The sequence below is a fragment of the Homo sapiens genome, chromosome 16 (genome assembly GCF_000001405.40).
Source record: "Homo sapiens chromosome 16, GRCh38.p14 Primary Assembly".
NCBI lineage: Eukaryota > Metazoa > Chordata > Mammalia > Primates > Hominidae > Homo > Homo sapiens.
This window is the reverse complement of record NC_000016.10, coordinates 63,335,586-63,360,690: the sequence shown is the minus strand read 5'-3', so window position 1 is coordinate 63,360,690 and position 25,105 is coordinate 63,335,586. Positions and strand designations below refer to the sequence as shown.

Here is a 25,105-nt window from a genome sequence, read left to right as displayed (position 1 = left end):
AGGAGGCCATATGCCCAAATATTGCTCATGATAGTAGTAATAAGACTATCTGAGCCTCTTATTTTTTCATACATATAACTGCCTCACCACCTCTCACTTTAGCCTCGTCTTTACTTTTCCCTCTTTTCATCCTACCCCTGCATCCACCTATGTATTTATAAATTTGTCAATTCAAGTTTAACGACCAGTATCTTGCCTAGGGAAAAAAAAAATCCTGATTGTCTTTTGACAACTGAAAAATATGCATTATTTTTCCTAAAATTCTAAATCCTCCATATAACCTTAACCATGATCCCAAGACTGTCATGCCCTTACACATAGAAGGCTATAGAGTGAGCCTTCTCAACAGTGCCACTATTGGCATATCAAGAGAGGTAAGCCTCCACAGTGGTGACAGTGGTGATGATGGTGGGGCTAGCCTTTGCACTACAAGTGCTGGGGATGGTTGGCAGCATCCCTAGCATCAAACCACTAGATGCCAATAACATGCTCGCTCTCACACCAGTGAGACAACCACATCATGTCACCAGGTGTTACCACATGCCTTTGGGAAGAGAGAGTGGGGAGATCACTCATCTCTGTTTGAGAACCATTGCTGTTAAGAACCAAACTTCTGGCTATGTTCATAATACATCCCGTTCTGTCTCTTATTTTCCAAACTCTCCGTGACTTTTTGCTCACGTCTGTCTCTCATATTAATTGCAGAAACACTTCAAATTTCTGAAGATCCATACATGCCCATAGCTCTTTAATAATATTTAATCTTTGATTTTATGTTCTTGGAATAATTTAATCTCCCTTATTAGACAGTCGCTATCATGTGACCCAAAACAAAGCATCCCCACCCCCTTTTTTTTTCTATAAAGCTGCGTTTCCCAAATATATTCCATGGAGCACTGGCACTAGCTGTTTGATATTTGTAAATGTGGTGCTTGTGCATGTGTGCACACGTGTGTGCATGTATTCGTGTGTGTGTAAAGAGTTTTATGGTGGCTCATGCCTGTAATTCCAGCACTTTGGGAGGCCAAGGCAGGTGGATCACCTGAGGTCAGGGGTTCGAGACCAGCCTGACAAATATGGTGAAACCCCCTCTCTACTAAAAATACAAACATTAGCTGGGCGTGGTGGCAGCCACCTATAATCCCAGCTACTGGGGAGGCTGAGGCAGAAGAATCACTTGAACCTGGGAGTCAGAGATTGAGGTGAGGTGAACTGATATCAAGCCATTGCATTCCAGCCTAGGCGACAGAGTAAGACTCTATCTCAAAAAAAACAAAAAAGAGATTTTTAGTCAAAGTTGAAAAAGTAGCAAACAATATCCCCAACATGGATTTTCACAATTTACATTAATTAGTGTAACAAAGACTATAGAAGTTCCTTTAATTAATATCACTGTTTAGCAGTTTTTCTCCTCAAATATATTTAACTATTTTTTTTTTTTTGAGACAGAATCTCACTCTGTTGCCCAGGCTGGAGTGTAGTGGCACGATCTCGGCTCACTGCAACCTCCACCTCCCAGGTTCAAGTGATTCTCCTGCCTCAGCCTCCTGAGTAGCTGGTACTACAGGAGGGCACCACTATGCCTGGCTAATTTTTTTTGTATTTTTTAGTAAAGACAGAGTTTCACCATATTTGCCAGGCTGGTCTTGAACTCCTGACCTTGTGATCCTCCTGCCTCAGCCTCCCAAAGTGCTGCAATTACAGGCGTGAGCCACCGCACCTGGCCTGATATTTAACTATTTTAATAAATTAAAAAATTGATTGAAGAACTTAGCTATGTCCAAGGGTCCTTCAGACCAATCCTTCTCCTCTTGGCTTTTGAAAAGGTCATTATAGGGCCTTTTCATTTAGGCTTATGTTATTTCTGTTTGAAGATAGGAAGGTGTTACTTAACAAGAAACTACTGACCTACTTTTGAACGGTGTCTGCAGTGTGCAAGGGGAATTCTGGAGTTAGAAGTGAACTGGAAAAAGAGAATAAATGGAATATGAAAGGATAGAGGGCCCCTCACAGAGGGCTCCTCACATTGTATGGTGGTTGAAAAGGACTTGGAACGGTGTCCAGATAAATTGTTGATAATTAAACTCTGGCTAAGTATGAGTTAACATTGGAAAAACACTTTACTTTTCCAGAAAAGTTTCATCAAATATATATTGAATGGTTTGGAATGGTTAATTACTCAACTTTTCTGTGGTTTCATGTTGTCTGACCGTAAATTGGATGCTGAGAGGGTTGAGATGGGAGTCTAGCTTGCTCGAGTGATTTTGGACTTCTTCTTGGTTATATTTTCATGCTTTTGGCCTTCATGAAGCACCAAATGGGTATATTCTGTGCTTGCAATAGGCAACTACTTAAGTGAAATTAAATATTTCTTGTGGGCCTATATTAGATTTAGGGCTTGTGGATAGGGGGAATCACACAGGATAATTCTCAACTGGAAGAAGAATACCAGGAAAACATGGAAAACAGCTACTTTTATCTTCTGTTATTTACATCACTCCATTTAGATGTGCAACCTCCATTTCTTATCAATGCTTATTCTAAAAAGACTATGTTTAGCTTATAATATTAAAAGCGAAGATACTAATGCTAGCTTAAAGGAAGACTTTTTCTTCAGTCAAATTAAGGCTAAAATTTTAAGCTGCAGGGTAATATTACTTATGGCGAATTCTCAAAATAAATAGGGAAAACATTTTTCCAAGGTAGGAACATTACAATTTACCTTGTCAGACTAGGAGTTAAAACACAGGAAGGAAATATCTCTCTATTTTGTGTTTGTTTAAGATCCAACCCTTGTTTTTATTTCCACCCATGGATTTAGAAAATAGGACACAATACATTTGTGGTGTCACATGCAATTATTACCCTAGTGAATTGCTAATGAGACAACTCCAGCTCCAAAGCAGCATTTTAAATAAAACCCAAGAATACATCACATCTTCACATATTGCTTTTATAAATTAACAAATACATTCCCATGCATACAAAAATGGGAACGTATTCTGCAAACAAGCCCTGAGCAGCCACCATGTGTAAAAACTAAGTTAAGCACTAAAGATGAGGCAAGCAGAAAGGTTTATGGTCTTAGTAGTCACAGAACTCATTAGTGCAGGGATAGACATAGGACATCACACTAGATTATTGAAGTAAGGAGAAAAATTCTGTTTTAAAGGGATAGGCATAAAGCTGGGGGCAAGACAGGTAGAGTCAGAAGAGTAAGTGATCAGTTCCCACAGATGGGTCATGCTGGTATTTGAAGGAGTACCAGGATTTTCATAGGCAAAAGAGGAAAAAGAATATCTCAGATAAAGGAAATAGAACAAAAACAGGCAGTTGGAAAAGAGATCGGGAAGAAGGAGACCCTCTCTGTGAGGCCACAGGTTGCCAGAGGTTATTATGAAAGGTAGAGCTAGAGAGTAAGTTTTGACATTAAAATTACCTGAAGAAATGTTCACAATTTTAGTTAAAGGTGGTCCATATACTTTTGTAACTGAATATGAAAAGAAGTCCCTGTCTGAACCAGTTATAAAATAATAAAAGAAATTACAAGAGATTATATCTCAAAATTTTTAATGTTGAGAATCCTTTTGATCACATCTCATTTAACAGATACAAAAAATTAGGTGGACAAGCAAAATTCAGATCAGGGATCTAGCACAAACTCTTGATAAGACTCTACAGCAGTGCTGGCCAATAGAAATAAAATGCAAGACAATAACCTGAGCCATATATGCAATTTTAATTTTTATATTAGCAACATTAAAAGTTTAAAAGGAAGTAAAATTAATTTAACAGTATAACTTACTCACAAAGATACCTAAAACACTGTACATTAAATCAATATAAAATTGAGATATTTCACATTATTTTTTCAATTTCAGCTACATTACTTAGATCTAGAAATTTAGTATTTTATACTAAAAGAATGTCTAGATTTGAACTGGTCACATTTCATATATTTAATAACCACATGTGGCTATTGACTACCACATGTGGCTATTGACTACCACATTGAACAGCACAGCTTTAGAGTAATGATTCTCAAAGTTGGTTCTTTTTCCAAGAGGACCAACATCACCTGAGAACTTTCTAGACGTGAACATCCTTGAGTCATACTCCAAAATTATTCAATCAGAAGTAGTTGGTGATGGGAATACAGTTTGGCAATTTCACGTTCAAAAAGCTCTCCTGGACGTTCTGATGCACACTTAATGTGATACGATGGCAGAACCTGGGAACAGAAAGTGTGGCCCTGGTCCATCAATATCTACATCACTTAGGAGCTTGTGGGCGGGAAGCCACCCAGGTGCCGAGGCAAGAGACTGAAGGCACTAGCTGTTCCAGTATAATAAAGAAAATATATACAATAAGAATAGTTATACAATAAATAGATTATAGATATGATTACATATGAATATTATTAATCATTAGTTTGTAGCATTACTCTTTATTCCAAATTATAATAATCTTTGTTCTACAATTACAACCTAGGAAAAAACAGGCCATACAGAGATAGGAGCTGAAGGGACATGGTGAGAAGTGACCAGAAGACAAGAGTGTGAGCCCTCTGTCACGTCCGGACAGGGCCACTGGAGGGCTCCTTGGTCCAGCGGTAATGCCAGTGACTGGGAAGGCACCAGTTACTTAGCCGACCTTGGTCTAGCAGTAGCGCCAGTGCCTGGGAAGGCACCCCTTACTTAGCAGACCAGGAAAGGGAGTCTCCCTTTCACGTGGGGAGTTAGAGAAGACTCTGCTCCACCACCTCTTGTGGAAGGCCTGACATCAGTCAGGCCTGCCCGCAGCCATCCGGAGACCTAAATGTCTCCCTGTGATGCTGTGCTTCAGCGGTCACACTCCTGGTCCACTTTCATGTTCCGCCCTGTACACCTGGCTCCACCTTCTAGAAAGCAGTAGCAGAATTAGTGAAAGTATTAAAGTCTTTGATCTCTCGGAGAAATACATAGAATAAATAATGACGTAAGCTGTCCCCTCTCTCTCTGCCTGGGCTACCAAATAGGGAAGGGCCCCCTGTCCACACGTGACTTGCGTGACCTTACCTATCATTGGAGAAGACTCACACGCCTTACCCTGCCCTCTTGCCTGCAGCCAGGCATTTGGGGCTACTATGGGTCTCCGTGTCTTGGTGGTAGTGGTCCTCCGGGCCCACCTATCTTCTCTTCTATCTCTTTGTCTTGTGTCTTTATTTCTACCATCTACCGTCTCCGCACACGAAGAGAAAAACCCACAGGCCCTGTAGGGCTGGACCTTACAGAAGCTTATTGAAAATGTACAATTTCAAAACCTGGACTTACTAAATCAGAAAGTGCATTTACAACAAGTCCAGGTGAATTATTTGTGTACAAAGCCTTACATCAGTAGTTCCAAAATCTGAAGGTACGTTTTAATAACCTGGGAAGGTTCTAAAAATATAAATGACTATTACACCAATCAGATTAGAATCAAAGTAGAGCCAATACCTTCTGTTTTGTTGCATTGTTTGTTGTTGTTGCAGTTGTTTGTAACTCACAAATCATATTTATGTACAGTAAAATTGGAGAACCTTTCTCTAGAAACACTATTTACCAAAATGAAGTACTTCAATTGTAAATGGACAGCTCAATATTTTTATTTATTATTATTATAAACAATTCTAATATATGACAAAATTGAAAGAACATTGATATAATGAGAATGTGCATACCCAACACCCATATTCTACTAATTGTACTATATTTGCTTTATCATACACTCATTTTTAAGCCTTTCCTCTGTGTTTAAGTTGTATCTCTTAATCATTTTTAAATTGGGCTGTTTGGGTACCTATCATTGAGTTGTAAAAGTACTTTATAATTCAAGATCCAATTCTGTTTTATATTTTCAAGTCAAGTCCTTCCATTTCTGTTTTCTAAGTTTTGCTTTTTCTGAGAGCAAATCTTACTAATTTTGTTAAAGTCAAGTTTTTCATTTTATAAAATATTTATGTACAGTGATTTCTGTGTTCAACATAAGAAAGCATTCCTTACCCCAAGGTTGCAAACACATTATATTATGAGTTCTAAAATGTTACATTTAGATATTGATATCTCACATAAGCTGTTGCTTGATATAAGCAAGCATTCAAAATTGTTTATAACTTTACTCACTATTCATTGATCATGTATGTGTTAAAATATTTCTGGACACCATTCTGTAGCTCTAAATTATTTGTCTTTCAATGCATCAATACCACATTGTTTTGATTACAGTAGCTTATTTTAGCCATGAGATAAGATAATTCAAGGCCTTTTAATTTGATTACTTTTTACAAAATTATTTTGGCTAATCTGGATTCTTTGAATTTCCATACAAGTCTTAGAATTGAGTTGTCAATTTTCACAAAACAAACTTCTGGAAACTTAATTGGAATGGTGTTCAATATATCATTTAAATTTGGGGAGGATTGGCATTTTAATAATATTGAGACTTTTAAAATACATACATGGTTTGTAACTCAATTTATGTAGGTCTTCTGCAATTTCTTTCTGTAAAAAATGTTAATTTATTTAATTATTTATTAAAAACCTATGCTTTCTTTGCATATTTTAAATAAAACCTATTGTTGAGTGTTTTGATTTGATGCTATTATGAATATATTTTAAGTTTAATGTTATTTCCCTGTGTTGTTGAATACCTATAAATACATACATATATTTATACACACATATATTTACATATATATTTCATGCTTTTCTATATTGGTATTGCATCCTAGAATTTTGCTAAATTCATTTCCTATTCATAGCTTTGTGTTTTTATTAGATTTTTAGATTACTAGATTTTCAGTGTAAATTACTAGATACTTGGCAAATAAATAATGTTTTACTTCTTTTTATGAAGGCCTTCTTCTTTCTCTTGCATTATTGAAATGGCTATAAACTTTATTACAATGTTGAATAGAAATGAAGAAAAATACCCTTGTCTTTCTTCTGGTAATAGAAAGAAAGTGATCAAAATTAACTAAATTATGATGTTGGGTGCAATCATAATTGCCTTTATATGTTCTGAGAAAGTTTCATTCTATATCTAGTTTGCTGAAAATTTTGTCATAAATTGGTGTTGAATTTTTTCAAATGCTTTTTCTATCTGTTGACTTTTCTCCTTTATTCTGTCTTTTTCTCCCCTGAATGTTTGTTAGAATTTAGCAGTGTGTTATGAAAAATATGGGCAAGAAATTATACTCTCCTTTTCTTCATTACAAAAGTATTTGGGTAAATTAAATATTATTTCTTCCATAAATATTTGACATAAGTCCCAAATAAATTCAATCTTGGGCAGAAACTTTCTTTGTGAAGTTTGTAATAAAAATTTAAGTTATTTAATACTGTTATCATCCATTCCATCTTATATTCCTTTTGTTAAGTTGGATTTTCAAGCAATACATACATTTAATGTACCTTATCAAATGTAGTACATATTTTTACGTAACATTTTCTTTTTATTCTTTTGTTCTACATAGCACATGTAGTGATATCCCCTGTATTGTTTTTATATAGATAATTCATTTCTCTTTTATTGTTTGTTGATTATTCTAAATATATATTTATCACTTCATTTGACCTTTTCAAATAATCAAATTGCAGCTTTGTTGATTTTTCTCTATTGTGTTTTTTTCCTGTTACATTAAATTTTTCTTTATCCAAATGATTATCTTTTTTATTCTTATTTTGGAATGTGCATATTATCTTTTGATAGTTTCCAAATGTAAAAGCTTAGGTTATTATTTTGAACTTTTATCTTTCATGTATAAATATATAGCTATAAATTTTCCACTAAGGACTGCTTTACCTGGATCATGTTATTTAATATGTTGCATTTTTATTTTTATTTACTTTAGAATATATTTTTAATATTTATTTATGGTATTTATAACTCTAATAATTTATTGATTTCTAATTTATTTATTAGTATCACATTATATTTCCTCTATTGGTTATATACACATGCATAAACACATACATAGAAACATACAAACCATACATTAATATATGCAGATAAAATGCATTTATATTTTATATATTGCATATAGTATACAAATATAAATATTACAAGCCTATGAATATATAACATAATATAATTATACTAATTATTTATGTACACACTTATATATAGAACTACACATTCCAATTTAGAGTGATTGGATTAAATAAGGCTATATATTGAATTCTTCAGAAGAGCAACAATTGTTACTACTACTGCATTTATTCACACATGTATGTATTTATTCCAACCTACTTATATGGATATAATTTTTTTAGTATAATTGGGTACCCTTAGAATTGTACTACTATTATTTTATGTAGTCTAATATTCTGTATATGTTAGCTTTGTTCTAAACTGCTAAAAAATTAAAGAAGTTAAGAAAAGATACAAAAATATAATTTTATATTATCTACATGTTTGTCATTTTTGTGATCTTTCCTTTCAGTAGATCATAATTTCATTTTGATATCATACTCTTTCAAACCAGAGATTTCCCTTCCATATTTCTTTTCGTGCAGGTAGGCCAATGATTTTTTTCCTTTTACTGTGCTTGTAAATGCTTTTATTGGAGCTAGTTTGTCCCCTGTTCCTGTTTGAAGTCTCACATAAGTCTTGCTCTTCTCTGTTCAATCTCAGTTAATAAGTTAGCTTGTCATTTCCAAGCCTCCACAGCAATAGTTTAACAATTAAAATGTTGACACAAGTGTAACAACCAGCACTCTGGTCTTAATTTGTAGTGGTATCTTCTCTACTCTCCCAACTCTGGCTCACAATGGGTAGAAAGTCTGCATTGTGACCTGGGGTTGGGTTTACATTATCTACTTCCTTTGCATTCTTTCCCCATTGCCATCTTCTAAGTTTTTAGCTGCACATTTGTTTTAATTTCACCAGGTTCTGAGTATGTATTTGTGTATTGGGAGTAGGGAGGTCATGCATGGTAGTTAAGAGGGCAAAAAATAAAGATCTAACTTGATTGACACTGCTGTGGTTTTTGTCACCGAAATCTTCCTGGAGACAAATTTAACATTGACTACATTTTTTCATGGAGTGATTTTTGAAGTGTGTTTTAAAACATCACTATGACTATCTCACTTTCCTATCAATGTATCAGATGAGAATACACTCTTGGGAGGCTTCTGATTCTTGGTCTCTGGTTCTTAGAGGCCCATATGAAACAGAATTCCCCTTTTCAGGCCCTCATAGCCTCTCTCAACAATGATTGATCTCTGTAACATTTTCCCCAGCCTCTTCTTTCTAGCATTAAAACTGGAAATATGATGTAGATGGTCAGTGGGCAAAAGATTACTTCCTACAGTGTAGTTTGTTATGCTCTTGCTATGGACTTGCCTTGTAACTCTAGAATTTGGGAGCATAAATTAGAAACCGTATAGTTGTGTTCCCCCACTCCAGGCTATCCCTCTAGGTTTGAGTGAGGAAGCATCTACTCTGTCTGTTCCAAAGCCAACTAATTTCTCATTTAAAAATTACCCTTTAACCCTTCCTGCCATCTTTCTGCGCCACAATGGCGCACATGAATATCCTGACTGATGCTCTCAAGGGCATCAACGATGCTGAAAAGAGAGGAAAATGCCAGTTTCTCATTAGGCTGTGCTCCAAAGTCATCATTCGGTTTCTAACTCTGATGATGAAGCATGGCTACACTGGCAAATCTGAAATCATTGATGGTCACAGAGCTGGGAAAATTGTCGTGACCCTCACGGGCAGGCTAAACAAGTGTGGGATGATTAGCCCCAGAGTTGATGTAAAACTCAAAGGTCTAGAAAAATGACAGACTAATGCGATCCCAGTCCGCTAGTTTGGTTTCATTGTACAAACCTCAAGGGTCATCATGGACCATGAAGAAGTAAGATGAAAACACACAGGAGGAAAAGTCCTGGGATTATCTTTCTAGAGATGTAATACATGTTTACAAATAAAATGCCTCGTGGACTCTGAAAAAAAATTACTTTAAATTAAATTAAATTACTACCTCAGCCTTTCTATACCGTGACATTTACATTGAGATAAGGATAACAAAACTGGTTTCTGATCAAGTTTTAACGATATCCGTGTCTGTGAAATAAGAGTCTAGGCTTTCAAGGGACTATTTCAAATGGAACAATATTCAGTTGTATATATGAGCTTACAGATTTTAGATAATTTAGTCACAATAGTTATTAGTTATCAACTAATATTAACTGTTTAAGTTATCCTTTTAAATTAGCTTGCAAGATCAAAAATATTACAAAATTGATTATCAGTATTTTGATGTTCTCCTTAAGACTTATTTCATTAACGAGAAGGATTTTCATCTCAGGCAACTGTAGCCCTGGTGTGTTCATTGTTACAGACACCAGATGCTCCCCCTTTACTTCTCATAGTCATTTCCCTTTTAAGATTGTCTATCCATCAATATCATCAGACTAAATCACCTTGGACCAGGCCCATCAAAGGCTCCTTTGGCAATGTCACTGGGACCATTTGCAACCTAATTAATCTATCTTTGTGGTGCCTCAAAACAGCACACACACTGCCTTAATTGCTACAACCTCACACCCATTGGGGACCACAAACAGAGAATAAGCAGACTCTGTTACACCCTGCAACTCCTGCATTAGCATCATTTACTGCAAGATTAATGAGAGAAGCTGAGAAAGCCAGAAGTGTGGAGCAAAGCCGTAGATTTAGGCTTTAGAAAACTTCCCATGCTACTTAAATAGAGCAACAACTTGACTATTAAAGTAAGAGTTAAAAAATTTACACACTTTAGACACATTACTTACTGTCAATGAACTTTACAAAGCTTTAAACTTGATATTATTATTATTCTAAAAACCTTCAAAATTAAAGCTCTTTTTCCTTAAATGTTTAAATTGTACTTTTATGTGAGCCAATCACATTTTATACATATATATTAATTTTGTTGAGGACATAATTTATTATGATTAATGTGTTGGATGTAGTGATTCTGAAAGGAAAACATGTTTAGACAGTAAACATTTCTAAAAATAACTATATTAAAAATGATATAGTGAACAACAAAATTTTTAACTACCCAGTACATTCAACCAAAAGCAAAAATAAATAAATATCAACAGCAACAAAAACACAACAGCAAAAATTCCTGAGTGCTTGATTTTGAATCGTGGTTCTTTGAATTTGAAGTCTTCTCATGTTAATATTTTAGACTTGTTATGTAAGCTGTATATATAAAATCTTGTATACCCCAAAAACAACATTAATATATGTTTTAATTTTTCTAATTATCAAAAAAGAAATATTTGTATTACTTAAAGTACCAACTCATTTCTTGAAATGAAAGAGTCCCTTATTGAAGCATGATTCAACTTTATGTGCCAAAATTTCATTGACTTGTTAAAAAATACATATGTTTAATAAAGTCAGATTCACATTTAGATTGTGGTTTCCTAATGGAGTGGAAAAAACAGAGGATGTGATGCTTGGAGTCATGGGCTTGAGCCTGTAAGTCATCTTCACTTATGATCACTTCCCCGATATTCAGGGGTAGGGTAGAGAAGAAGGACATTTTGCTTCACTGAATCCCCATATCTTCCTAAGAATCATTGGGAGAATGGATGCTAATGTAATTAGAAACCATGGAGTCATTCCCAAGTGGTCATTTATTTTAAAAATCATTTGCTTTCTCAAATATACAAAGAAATAGATTATCCCCATCTATTTTCCAAATTACGAGATAACGTGGGTCTAATGATCCTAACATATAAATAAGCTAAGATGGTTCCAGTGGTAAATTTCAAGATAATGATTATTTTTTATTTGTCATCATAATTATGTGATATCTATCGATTATCTATCTATCCATCTTTCTATCTATATGCATCTGTACCTACTAGCTAGCTAGCTAAGATAGATAGCAAATAATGTGAGAAATACAGAAAGTAATCAGATACATGAAATGTGAAAACCTTGGTGATCAAAGAGAAAGCAAGGTGGATTTGAAGCAAGATAAAGAAAAAATACCAGCTAGTAGAAAAGAGTTTATGCTATTTAAAATGCGTATCTGTGTGCACACATATAGCCACAAATGCACACACACACATATAATTACTGGTGAACCAAAGAAGTATGGTGTTAGACTTAATAGAGATTACAAACTAGTGAGCAAGAAGAGAAAACAAACAAGTGATATAACTGTAAGTGCTCTAAAACATATTAAGATTAAAAAGGGTAAAGTCATCTACATTTTATTAATCTTAAAAGAGAGGCACCTTATAAAGGGAAGTGCATGTTATCATAAGCAGGGTAGTAATAATGATATATTTTGGGAAATTGATGGTATGTTCTGCAATAGACAAGGGCTTTGATGTATCAGGAAGGAAGGGCCAAGAGGAAGGATAAAGACTATATGAGTAGCTTAATGTGAAGATGCAGAAGGTCTTGTGTGTTAGCCTATAAGGTTAGTATACATAGTGTGGGCAAAGGAAACCAGTAAATGATTTCAGGCAGTGACATTCCAACTTCATGTGTGCTAAGATCATTTTTGCCCACCAGGTGGGAAATGATTTGCGGTAATTAAGTTGAGATGTATGAGACCATTAGATGACTATTTCCGTAGTTTGGATAATAAATGATGTTCCTAAAACTGATTTCATATAGTGGGATAAAGGGTCACAAAGATATGTGAAGCAGAATGATGCAGATGACTTAAACAACTGGACATAGGGTAAGAGAGAGATAAATTATTAAATATAACCCCTTTACTCCACTGCTAAAAAGAGTAATTGAAAATCCCATATGATTTAAAGGTGCACATTAGATTTGGTGATATCCTAACATATAATTCCTGCTAAACAAAGACATTCTTGTTCAATTGCACCACTAATTGTACAAAAGTCCTGTGAAAAACTGTATTCTCATGCTGGCTTAAGAAGGTAATTTCTTATCTTATAACTACAACATTGAAGGCATTTTTCATTGAAATTACTGACTTTTGCCATAATATGTTATAGGAACTAATCAGTACTTTAAACATACACAGTTACATTTTTAAAAGTTTTGTTTTGGTTTTTAATGCACCAACTTCTAAGCAAGTACAAGCACAAAAAAAATATTGTATGTCCCACATAATGTGGGTGTTCTGACACTTCAGTAAAGTTAAATTAATTGTAATAAACAAAAATTGTCACTAAAGTTCTCAGTTTATACCATCTAATACTGTGTGAATACATTTTATTTCCAAACATTATAAAACAGCCAAAAGTATAATAAATTACTTACCTAAGCCCTTTGAGCATTTTTGCATAATTTACCAAAACAAATTGATTTTAGTGGAAAAGCTGCTAATTTACATGGGTAGGAAGTGTTTTCCTTGGTGTGATGAATTTAATTTCAATTTCCCTGTTTGCATGAGTTCACTCCAGTAATTCATCACTGTTACATTAAACTACAACTATGTTTTGCCTGAGTAGGCCCCTAACATTCAATATACATGAATGAAAATAAATTGTCCTCAGAGTTTGGTTATATATTTTATATAATACATGAGTGTTAAGGTATCTTTTTAAAAGAATCAACAATTTTTTAAAATAGAAAAACAATGACATGCATTCATTTAAAATTTGGGAAAAGCAGTTTTGTACCTTTACTAAACTTGATTTCAGGGTTTTGTTTTGTTCTGTTTTATGTTTTTTTTAAAAAGAAGGAGACACAGATTTATAAGACACTAAATATGCGCCAGCTTTTGCCAAGGGTAATTTACATTTGTCATATTATTTTTTCCTTTTGACATTGTTGCTAAATAAATAAATAAAATATAAAATGTTTATGGTTTAAAACAACATGAGCCAGGCGCGGTGGCTCATGCCTGTAATCCCAGCACTTTGGGAGGCCGAGGCGGGTAGATCACGAGGTCAGGAGATCGAGACCATCCTGGCTAGCACGGTGAAACCCCGTCTCTATTAAAATACAAAAACTTAGCCGGGCGTGGTGGCGGGCGCCTGTAGTCCCAGCTACTCGGGAGGCTGAGGCAGGAGAATGGTGTGAACCCGGGAGGCAGAGCTTGCAGTGAGTGGAGATTGTACCACTGCACTCCAGCCTGGGCGACAGAGCGAGACTCTGTCTCAAAAAAGAAAAAAAAAAAAACCAACATGTATATATCACACAGTTTATAAGGTTGAGAATCTGGGAGGAGCCTGGTCTAGGGTCTTACAAGGTCACAGTTAAGCTGTTGGCTGAGGCTTCATTCATCTCAGGATTTGACAGAAGCTGGATAATTATCTGCTAAGCTCACTCATGTGGCTGTTGGCAGGTGTCAGTTTCTCATTGACTTTTGGCCATAGACCTCTCTTCCTTGCCATGTGAACCTCTCCATAGGCAGCCTAAGTGTGCTCAAGGCATGGCAATTTGCTTTGCCAAGAATGTATAATCAGAGAGAGAACTAGCTAGCAAGACAACATCCGAGACAGAAACTACTATCTTTTATGACCTAATCTCGAAAGTGGCATACTATCACTTTTGCTGTATGCTACTGGTCACACAGCCCAACATCTTGTACAATGTGAGAAGAAATTGTACAAAGGCATGGATACTGTGAGGCATTCATAATCTTGAAGGCCGGCTCCCATGAGTATCAAGTTTATACATTTCAACAGCAAAACTAAAATGTCACAGGTAATATAAAAGAGTCTATACGAAAAAAAAACTTGTCTCTAAACTTGGCGATATCATCAGTGGTTCAGAAATGAAGTTGATCTCTTAACATGTAAGAACTGGACAATTACCATAATGTCATAGTCAAAATATATGATAATACATAAATGTTATCTGTGGAACAAACTCCTTTTTTAAAAATAGAAAAACAATGACATGCATACATTTAAAATTTGAGAAAAGATTGAGAAAAGACACCAAAAGATTTATAAGATTCCCAGAAGCTATATTTGAAACTTTTTAGTGACACTAGAAAAATGTGTCACCAATCACCTCTCCTGCATACAGGGTGGGGGTATATGTATGAAATTTCTCCACCCTTTTAAGTGGAGATACACACAGGATAAGGTGTTTGGAAAATGGGAATTGAGTCTCCACAACTCCCAGTTGGTCCATCCCTTGAGCAATGGTAACTAGAACACATTTTGATAATTGTGGTGGTAATAAATCTTGTCTCTCGGACCCCTTCACCTGCATGTCAGTAAAGAATTCTTTCAATTTTAGCTAACATATAAGTCGATTACAGTGTCTCAAACACATAATGGGTTTGGGTTCAGTAAGAACTTGATGTCAAATGCTTCTTCTTTTCAACTCTCTTGAACTTCACTCCAGTGTTTACATTTTTATAAGAAGTCCGTCCTGTGTGTTCCAGCTGCAGGCGTCCATTCCAGATTCACTGTAGCTATTCGAAAGGTGGTGTAGTACCAACCACAACTTTTGATTTTATTAGCAAAGTAAAAGCTTTCTTAATATTAAAGTTGACTTCCAATTCCATCTTCTTTGCCAACATTCACAACAACAACAAAAGTAATGATACTGGCTTTTCCCTTTATAGCATGTATTACGTGCCAGGTATTTTTCTAAGTACTTCACATATAATAACTCGTTTACATATCTAAGAGGTAGCTATTCAGATTATTCGTATTCAACAGGAGAAAGAACTGAGATACAGTGAAGTCATTCTGTGCCCCAAATCACATAGCTGGTGGATAGAAGAGACAGGATTTAAACTCAAGCATTTGCCTTCAAAATCCATACTGGTAACCATAATACTAGTAAAATATGTCACCAGTCACCTCTGCTGCAGACAGGGTGGGGCTATGTGTATAAAATTTCTCCATCATTTTAAGTGAAAGTAGACACAAGATAACATATTTAGAAAATGAAAGTTGGGTCTGCCAAACTTTTGTCTACCACAGTAATATTAACCACCCTGTGTTAGTCTATTAACCTTGTGTAAAGTTAGCTTTCTCCATATATAAAATGGTGAAAAAATGCATCCTTTTTTCTTTACTTATTTTGGGTCACACAAGTATTGCTTACTTTTAGGTTAAATGGAAACTGCAGTAATAGATATAAATTATTATTGTAATAGATATAAATTATATATAATAGATGTTTATTATAGAATATAGAATATAGATATATAGAATAATAGATATAAGTTATTCTAAAGTGTTATTATATTACGAAGATATAGTAAAAATATTAAGTGAGAGATGATTGTAACTCCTTAGTTGATTGCAAAATACATGAGCTTATATTGTATCAGCTTTAAAATTTTCAGTCCAACAAAAAAATGTTGTCATATCTTCTTGTAGTTCCTTATGTATGCCTCTTCTCTCTAATGTCAAGCATTTTGGTGTCTACTTGATAGAGACAGAACCAGTGAGGCATAAGGACTTCTTTTCCTCCAGAATGTTTTTATCTCATGTGCTGGTAACAGGCCAATCATGTGTTTGCTGAGCTCTCATTATAACTGGCAGATAAACATCCCCATCAAAACAAACATAGCATCACCTTTGCCCATTAAGTATGTATTGGGAGGCATCTTTTACATCTTTCAAACATTGAATGAATGGCTTTTGATAATCTTATTATTAATTACTGGGGCAAGAGAGAAATTATGGGAATGTGTGTTAAAAACATGAACCAAGATATTGGAAGCTGCAGTTATATATGATGCTCGCTGATCTATATTGTCCGTGTTAATGACCATGCCTTGACACTGAACAGAGAACCTTACATTCACAGACCTGATGTCATTAGAGCTAAGGTGTGATTACATACTCAATCGAATATGCCCAGTAAACAGAAACAGTGACACATAACCGCTTTATCTTATTATTAGACTCATTCATATGTATTATGGCATAGGGGTGAATCCATAGTGGCCTTCAACTAATCAAAGAAGATTTAGTGAGCTCTAATTTTATGCAGAACACTGCATTGCAAGAATACTTAAAATATATTTCCAACTCTACCAAGATAATTGAATAGTTTACTAATGATTTACTGGTCAGTTGATTGAGAATTAGACTAAACAAATGCAAAGTTCTTTGGGTAACCATTCAGTCAAAACTTCACTGAGTACCACTTTCCCCAGCCCTAAATGCTCAGATATGCAGCTCCTGTCCCAGATGAGAGTTCAGAATCTAATAGGGCGACAAACACATATGCATTTAATATGTCTGAAATGTCTGATGCAGGAGCAATTCTTAAACCAGACCTAACTCTAGGAGGAAAAACATCACGGGTATTACTACTTTCAATTATACCCTCAGTTCCAAATATAAAGGAGGTGTTCAGTGAACAATTATTGAATGGAAGGATTAATAAATGCGTCAAAAGAAGTAGTAAATAGTGTATTATTGGAGCATAGATGAGGGTGTTTATTTAATAATAGGGACAGTCAGAGAAGATATGTAAGAGAAGGGTTACGGTGATGTTGCCTTGACAGAGAAGGAAAGGTGCAATGAAGAAGTGTGGAGAAAATAACTGATACAATTATGCTCTGTGTCCCCATGCCGTTCTCCTATTCACTTATAATCCCTATAATCTTCATAATCCCCAGGTGTCAAAGTCAGACCAGGTGGAGGTAATTGGATCATGGGTGCGGTTTCCCTCATGCTGTTCTGATGATAGTAAGTGAGTTCTCATGAGATCTGATGGTTTTATAAGGGGCTCTTTCACCCTCGCTCCGGACTCTTCTCTTTCCTGTCGCCACGTAAGAAGGTCCAAGTTTTCTTCCCCTGTGAAGATGTGCCTTCTGCCACGGTTGTAAGTTTTCTGAGGACTCCCCAGCCATGCGGAACTATGAGTCAATTACACCTCTTTTCTTTATTAAATTACCCAGTCTCAGGCAGTTCTTTATAGCTGTGTGAGAATGGACTAATACAATAACCAAGGCTGAGAAAATGCATGTACTGGTACACACAGGTGAGCAAGCCCGTGCCAGATTGAAGAAACTGGATGCATTCCAGAAATGAGTGTTTCTGTCCCAGGCTGAAAATAATGGACTAGGTATACCTAATAAAGACAAGCAGAAATAAATAAAAATCCATACATAATGACTAACGTTCACTATTAATGAAAGGGTTCATTTTACATGAGGTTATAAACAGACAGCCATATCGTTTTATAATCAGAGGGTAAATAACTTCTATTTCTCTTTCAGTTAACCCTCATTAAATTCACATAGGATGCAGCATTTCACTGATGAGAAAAAGGCTGGGCAAGTATGGTAATGTTTAAACATGTCGTCAACAATTTTAAAAATGTAAGGTCAAAAACACATTTCTTTAGTCATTTGCATAATTACAGAATCACTTTAATCCTGCTGAATATGTTGTCCAATGAATATTTAAATATTTCCCCAAAACAATATCTAATGCAATCTTTATCAATAATATATCTTAGACACTTAGCAATAAAGGTGTCACACAAAGGAACTTTAAATTGCTAACATCTATAATATGCCTATTAAGTTTCAAAGGGATTGGGAAAATGGGCCATAAAAGATGAATAACAATAGGTTTAGAGTGATAAAGAAATCGCAATTTGGGGGCAGATGTGGAGAGGTCGAGGACAGCACTACAAATTAATGGCAATGTGTTATAATAACTGATACCACCAATAAATGTGTAAAGAGCTAACATCATAAAGAGTGAGGAACAAATGATCCCTAAGAATAGTAGGGAAAACTTCACAGAAAAAAATATTTAAATTAGTGAAAAAGATGATTAAAATTTCAAGACACAGAGGAAGAAAAGGGCATCTCCATAAAAGACTATCCCTTGTACACAGGATAAAGTCAGAGAAATGCAGATATTCAAGAGGAGTTAGTAATGTGGCTCAGGGGAACTATTGGGTGTTAAGATGTCTGAGAACAAGCAGAAAAATACATTAGCGTGTTTGATGTGTATCTATCTGCCTGTGATGACTTAGATACAGTAACCATAAGGAGCGGTTTAAGCAAGTTCTTCCTAGTCCTCAGTATCTCACACATCTGCTTGTTGTTAATATCTAGACAGTATGGTACATTCACTCTTGCAAGATTAAATCAGAATGCTTGGATTGGCACTGAAGGAGAGATGGTAGAGCAGCCTGATCTAGTCTTCATAGACAAAAGTACCTACACCACAGACAGGGAACGTGCTGGCCGTTGGTATTAGTCATATTAGTTTTATTTAAGAACGGCACAGCATTTCTCCAAGAGATATTACATGCTGATATTGAAAAAAATCAAATTTGCTAGTATTTTTATACAGATAACTAACATGAAAATGTTTGGGACAAATTTCTAGGTAAAAAGAACTGCCTGCAATAACTTAATCTGCACAAGACTTCTGCATCAATACATAATGAGATGGGTACTTGCAGAACGCTGTGTTTATTTAGCTTTGGCCTTATAAAGAAACAATAATTTGCATATTTCTCTCAATTAAGTATTATACTGACATACTTAATTAAAACTATAAAGGGCACTGAAAATGTTTCATTCTCTTAATGAAAGAGGAGACATATTACGCAGTTCAGAATGTCTCTGTATTTAATTTTCCCGGCTTTTTTTTTAACTGCTCAAACTGTGCTCTTCCTACAAATGTTGTCAATTAGGATGAAAAGAAGGAAAATTAAAGTCGCTCTTGAAAATGCACTTGTGTTTGTTTGTGACATCTGTATACGTTCACCAAATTGTGATTTGCATATTTCATGTGTAATTAAACTAGGAAAAGTGAGCACTGGAAAAGCTAGGGCAGTTTCACCCTCTTGCCAGTGTCTTCTTTGTTATTACTGGGGATTCATGTCTAAAGACCTCATCTCTTATCCAAAAACATCATACTCATTTTTTTTTTCTCAGAGAAATACTTTAAGGATTCCTTTAAATTCCCACTATGTATATTTGAATATATTTAAGGACATACGTAATGTGGCGCTGCTGGGACCATGAGTGCTGAGATAAACACGGTCTAACAAAATATATACTGGATTAGTTTCTGGAAAGATGAGTGTGAATCACAACCCTTCCAGTATAATTATGAAAGGTTCACATGGGCCACACTTATACCATTAATAAAATGAAAATAGCGACACATATTTCACTTACTGTATTATAAAACGGAGAATGCCAAACACTTCATGTACATGTAAGCATTTTGTAAGCTGTTACACATCAAACAAATAGAATAAAAATATTTTTCTGAGACTGAATTTTCCTGAAATGCGAGAAGAAAGAAAAAAATTAATGGTCCCTGGCCAAAAGAGACTTACAAGTCTAGTGAGAAAGATAAGTGTGTAAGCCACCCCACTTCAAGTTGAATAGAATGTGTAATATATTAGAGAAATAAAGCAAATACATAAATATGACAAATCTGCCTACAGTTCATTTCGCTTCTGTGAGAGGACTTCTTAGAGTAAGACTACTGGGAGTATATCAAGACTAGAAGAATAAAAATACATTTCCAACAAAGAACCAGGAACACTTTAAAGGAATTAACCTTTGATCCCAGCATTGAAGGAAACATGAGATTTTAATATTTTCAGAGAAATACATTGGCTAAGTCACCTGCCAGTGATCCAAGTTTCATTAGCAGTGAGTTTCCGTATACATAGCTAGGCTACTTCTGGTTCTTTGTCAGCTCCTGTTTGAACTGCCGTGAGTGGCCAACAATAAAACATTTTCAATGAGCTTCACCAAGAAAGAGGGATATTCTTAGATTATCTCTTTCTCACTCTTTTTTTCTCTCTCTTTCCTTCATCCCTCCCTCCTGTCAACCGCTGACAACCACAAATCTTTTTACTGTCTCTATATTTGTCTTTTACAAAATGTCATATGGTTGGAATCATACAGTATATAGGCTTTTCAGATTGGCTTCTTTTTTACTTAGTAATATGCATTTAAATTTCCTCCATGTGTTTTTATGGGTTGATAACTCATTTTTTTTAGCAGAGAATAATATTCCATTGTCTAGATATACCAGAGCTTATTAATCCAGTCACCTACTGAAACACATCTTAGTTGCTTTCAGGTTTTGGAAATTATGAATAAACCTTCTATTGATATATTTTCATATTTTTGTATAGACATGTTTTCAATTTCTTTGGGTAAATATCAAGGAGCTCAATTGCTGGATCACCTGGTAAGACTATGTTTAGTTTTCTAAGGAGCTCTCAAAGTGTCTCCAAAGTGTCTGTAATATTTTGCATTCCCACCATCAATAAACAAAAGTTCCTGTTGCTCCACATCCTCATCAGCATTTGTTGTTATCAAATATGTAGTGAAATCTCAGTGTTGTTTAGATTTGCATTTCCCTGATGATGTATGATGCGAATTATCTTTTTATATGTTTATTTATCATGACCGTATCTTCTGTGCTAAGGTGTTTGTTCAGGTTTTGACCTACTCTTTATTTGGGTTGTTTCCTTACTGTTGAATTTTAAGTGTTCTTTGTATTCATTTAAGATACTTTGTTTTCACAATAGTCTATTATCAGATGTATCTTTTGCAAATATATTCTCCCTGTATTTGACTTGCCTTTTTATTCTCTTCCTGGTGTCTCACAAAGCAGAAACTTTTAATTTTAATAAAGTTCAGCTTATCAATTACTGCTTTCATCAATCACGAAAGAACTTAAAAGAGAAGTAACATTCGACCCAGGAATCCCATTACTGGGTATATATCCAAAAGAAAATAAACCATTCCATCAAAAAGACAAATGTACTCATATGTTGATCGCAGCATTATTCACAATAACAAAGACATGGAATCAGCCCAGGTGCCCATCAACTGTAGATTGGATAAATAAAATGTGGTACATGTACACCATGGAATACTTCAAAGCCATAAAAAGAAAGAAACCATGTCCTTTGCATTAACAACAATTCAGCTGCAGACCATTATCCAAAGTGAATTAATACAGGAACAGAAAACCAAATACTGCATGTAATTACTGATAAATGAGAGCTAAACATTGGGTACTCACAGACATAAAGATGGCAAAAATAGACACCGGGGAATACAAAGGAGTGAAGGGAGAGAGGTGAAAAAATGTTGAAGCACTAATTATTGGGTTCTATGCTCACTATTTGTGTGACAGGATCAATTATACCACAAACTTCAGCATTGTGCAATATACGTGTAACAAACCTGCACATATATACCCTGAATCTAAAATAAAAGTTGTAATTATATTTTTAAAGTCATCATCAAGCCCAAAGCCATCTGGATTTTCTTCTGTTATCTCCTAGAACTTTTGCAGTTTTGCATTCTACAATTATGTTTGTAATGCATCTTGAGATTTGTTTGAGTATGTTTATGAAGGGTGTTAGCTCTAGGTCTAGATACATTTTTTAAGGTAGATGTCTAGGTGTTCTAGCAGCATCTGTTGAAAAGATTATCTTCTCTCCATCGTATCACATTTGTTCCTTTGTCACAGATCAGCTGGAAATATTTATGTGGGTCTATTTCTGGTCTCTATTATGTTCCATTTATCTATGTGTCTATTCTTCTTCCAGTACCACACCATTTTGATTATTGTAGCTTTAAAGTAAGTCTTAAAATCTAGCTGTGTCAATTCTCCAATTTTGCTCTTATCCTTCAGTATCTTTTTGGCTTTAGGTTTTTTGCTTCCCCATGAAAATGTCATGATCACTCTAATGTACAAAAAATTGCTGCAATGTTGATTGGGATTCCATTGTACCTAAAAATCAAGTTTGAAAAAACCGATGTATTAACAGTGTTGCATTTTCCTATTCATGAATATGGAATATATAGATTCTGTAGAACTATTTTAAAGTCTCAGTCTTTTACTGAGCCTTTTCTTCTGTACTGTGACTCTTTTATGTGTTTCTCATTCTCCATTTCTGCCCCTTAGGTGGTGTGCTAGTTCATTTGCATTGTTACAAAGAAAATCCTGAGACTGGGTAATTTATAAAGAAAAAGGTTTATTTTGGCTCACAGTTCTACAGGCTGTACAGGGAATATGGTTCTGGCATTGCCTTCTGGTGAGGGCCTTAGGAAGCTTCCAATCATGGTAGAGCATGAGAGAAAACCAATGTGTCACACAGCGAGAGTGGGAGCAAGAGAGAGAAGCAGAGGTGTCAGGCTGTTTAAAACAATCACCTCTCACATGACCTCAGTACTGCAGGGAGGGCACCAAACCATTCAAGAGACATTTACTCCCATTGCCCAAACACCTCCCACTGGGCCTGACCTCTAACATTGGGGATTACATTTCAACATGAGATTTGGAAGGACAAACATCCAAACACTGTCAGTTGGACATGATGACTAGTGTGAGCTGGAGTTGGGAGTTTCCCTTCCACCAAGCCAGTTAGAATCTGATAAAACCCCAGCACTGTGGACTCTGGTAAAATAGTTTCTCTTGAGGGCAGACCTTATTAAGAACAGAGTGATCTGGCTTATTTCAAAATAGTTTATTTTCTTCTTCCTTGGCCAGAAGCACAAGGGAAGTTTTCTTCAATATTTATTATGAAAGCCTGGTTGAGCTCCTGGACATACATTTCACAAAAGTGTGGAGATTCCTCTGAAGATTTTAATGCTCAGAATTTTCCACACCAAGCCCCCAGCAATTCATCAATTACGGGTTAGTCTTTCTTACACTGACATTGGTTCCATTAGAAGTTTCAGCTCCTGGGTTTCTGCACCAGTAACTTGAAATTTTCCATATCTGTCTATCTTTCTCTTTCATTTTTGGGGGAGTGGTTTTCCACTTGACCTGAATTCTCTTACAAATCTGAGAAGAGCTGTTGATTTTTCAGTTAGTTCAGCTGTTTACTTATTTTTGGGATGGAGTGGTGACTTTCAAGCTCCTTACATGAAAACCAGGGCCCAGAAGTCCATCAATCATCTTTTAAGGTCAAGTTTGACGTGGTTTGCATTTCTGTTCGTACGCAAATCTCATGTTGAATTGTAATCCCCAGTGTGGGAGGAGGGACCTGGCGGGAGATGACTGGATCATGGGGGTGGATTTCCTCCTTGCTGTTCTCATGATCGTAAGTTCTCAAAAGATCTGGCTGTTTAAAAGTGTGTGGCACTTCCCCCCTCTCTCTTCCTCCTACTCCAACCATGTAAGATATACCTGCTTCCCCTTTACCTTCTGCCATTATTGTAAGTTCCCTGAGGCCTCTCCAGAAGCAGAAGCCTGTACAGCCTAGACAACTGGAAGTCAATGAAACCTCTTTTCTTTATAAATTACCCAGTTTCAGGTATTTCTTTATAGCAATGCAAGAAGAGACTAATACAAAGTTCTTATTTTAGAAGAGTGAGATGAGGCAATTTTTGACTTAGTGATGAATATAAAGCAACTTCTTAATGTAACAGATTCTAAGTATTTTATCTTTCAATTAATTAATAACTGCAAATCACTTATTTTAGTTGATTAGCATCCATTTTTGTTTTCCCTTATTGGGCATATCTAAGCATTTGACAGGCTTGTTGAATTGAAATGAACTTTGAACTGTTGTTCTATATTTTTTTTCATATGAAATTATATGATGATATCTATCACCTTTGGTCCATCACTGTGCATTTAATGTAAGTGTGGAATGTTGTCATATCTTTCAAATGAACAATTCAAATTGGGAGCAGGATGGTCTAAGACTGGGGCACTAGACAAAAGAAAAGGAAAAGAGTGCCCTAGTTTATAATATTCAGGTTAAAACTGACAATGTATGGCCCATGCAAGAAGACAAGAAGCAGCAACACTAACAATCCAAGGGTGAAAGTTTATCTAACATATAGGATCAAAAGCATGAGAAGTGGCTGATACTTACATATAAAGAGTGAAGCAAACATGGGAGACAAACTTGATAGGCATATATCATAAAGATTCTGATTTACCTGTAGCTTTCAACTACATGAGGAATAGCAGCTTGAGGGTCACTGGACCATGTCTGTTCTTTGCTGCGCCTTGTCCATTATGTGTAATTTGAAACAACTGGGTTTTTTTGGAAAACTTAAAATTGATTTTCAAAACACTGTGGTCAAATTGCTTTAGATGTTGGGAAAACTTCTCTTAAACCCCAAGAATATGTTCTTACCTTCTTACCTAGGAAAACCTTGCTCTCTATTCTGAGGTAAGAGTAACACAAAATC

At 35.4% G+C, this 25,105-nt stretch overlaps 1 long non-coding RNA gene and 1 pseudogene across 3 annotated transcripts in view; both read left to right on the top strand.

Moving 5' to 3' along the window:
• Positions 1–25,105, top strand: part of LOC105371308 (uncharacterized) — a 512,336-nt gene that overhangs the window by 257,356 nt on the left and 229,875 nt on the right. The gene's annotated exons all lie outside the window — the stretch shown is intronic.
• On the top strand, positions 9,543–9,932 carry RPS15AP34 (ribosomal protein S15a pseudogene 34; annotated as a pseudogene).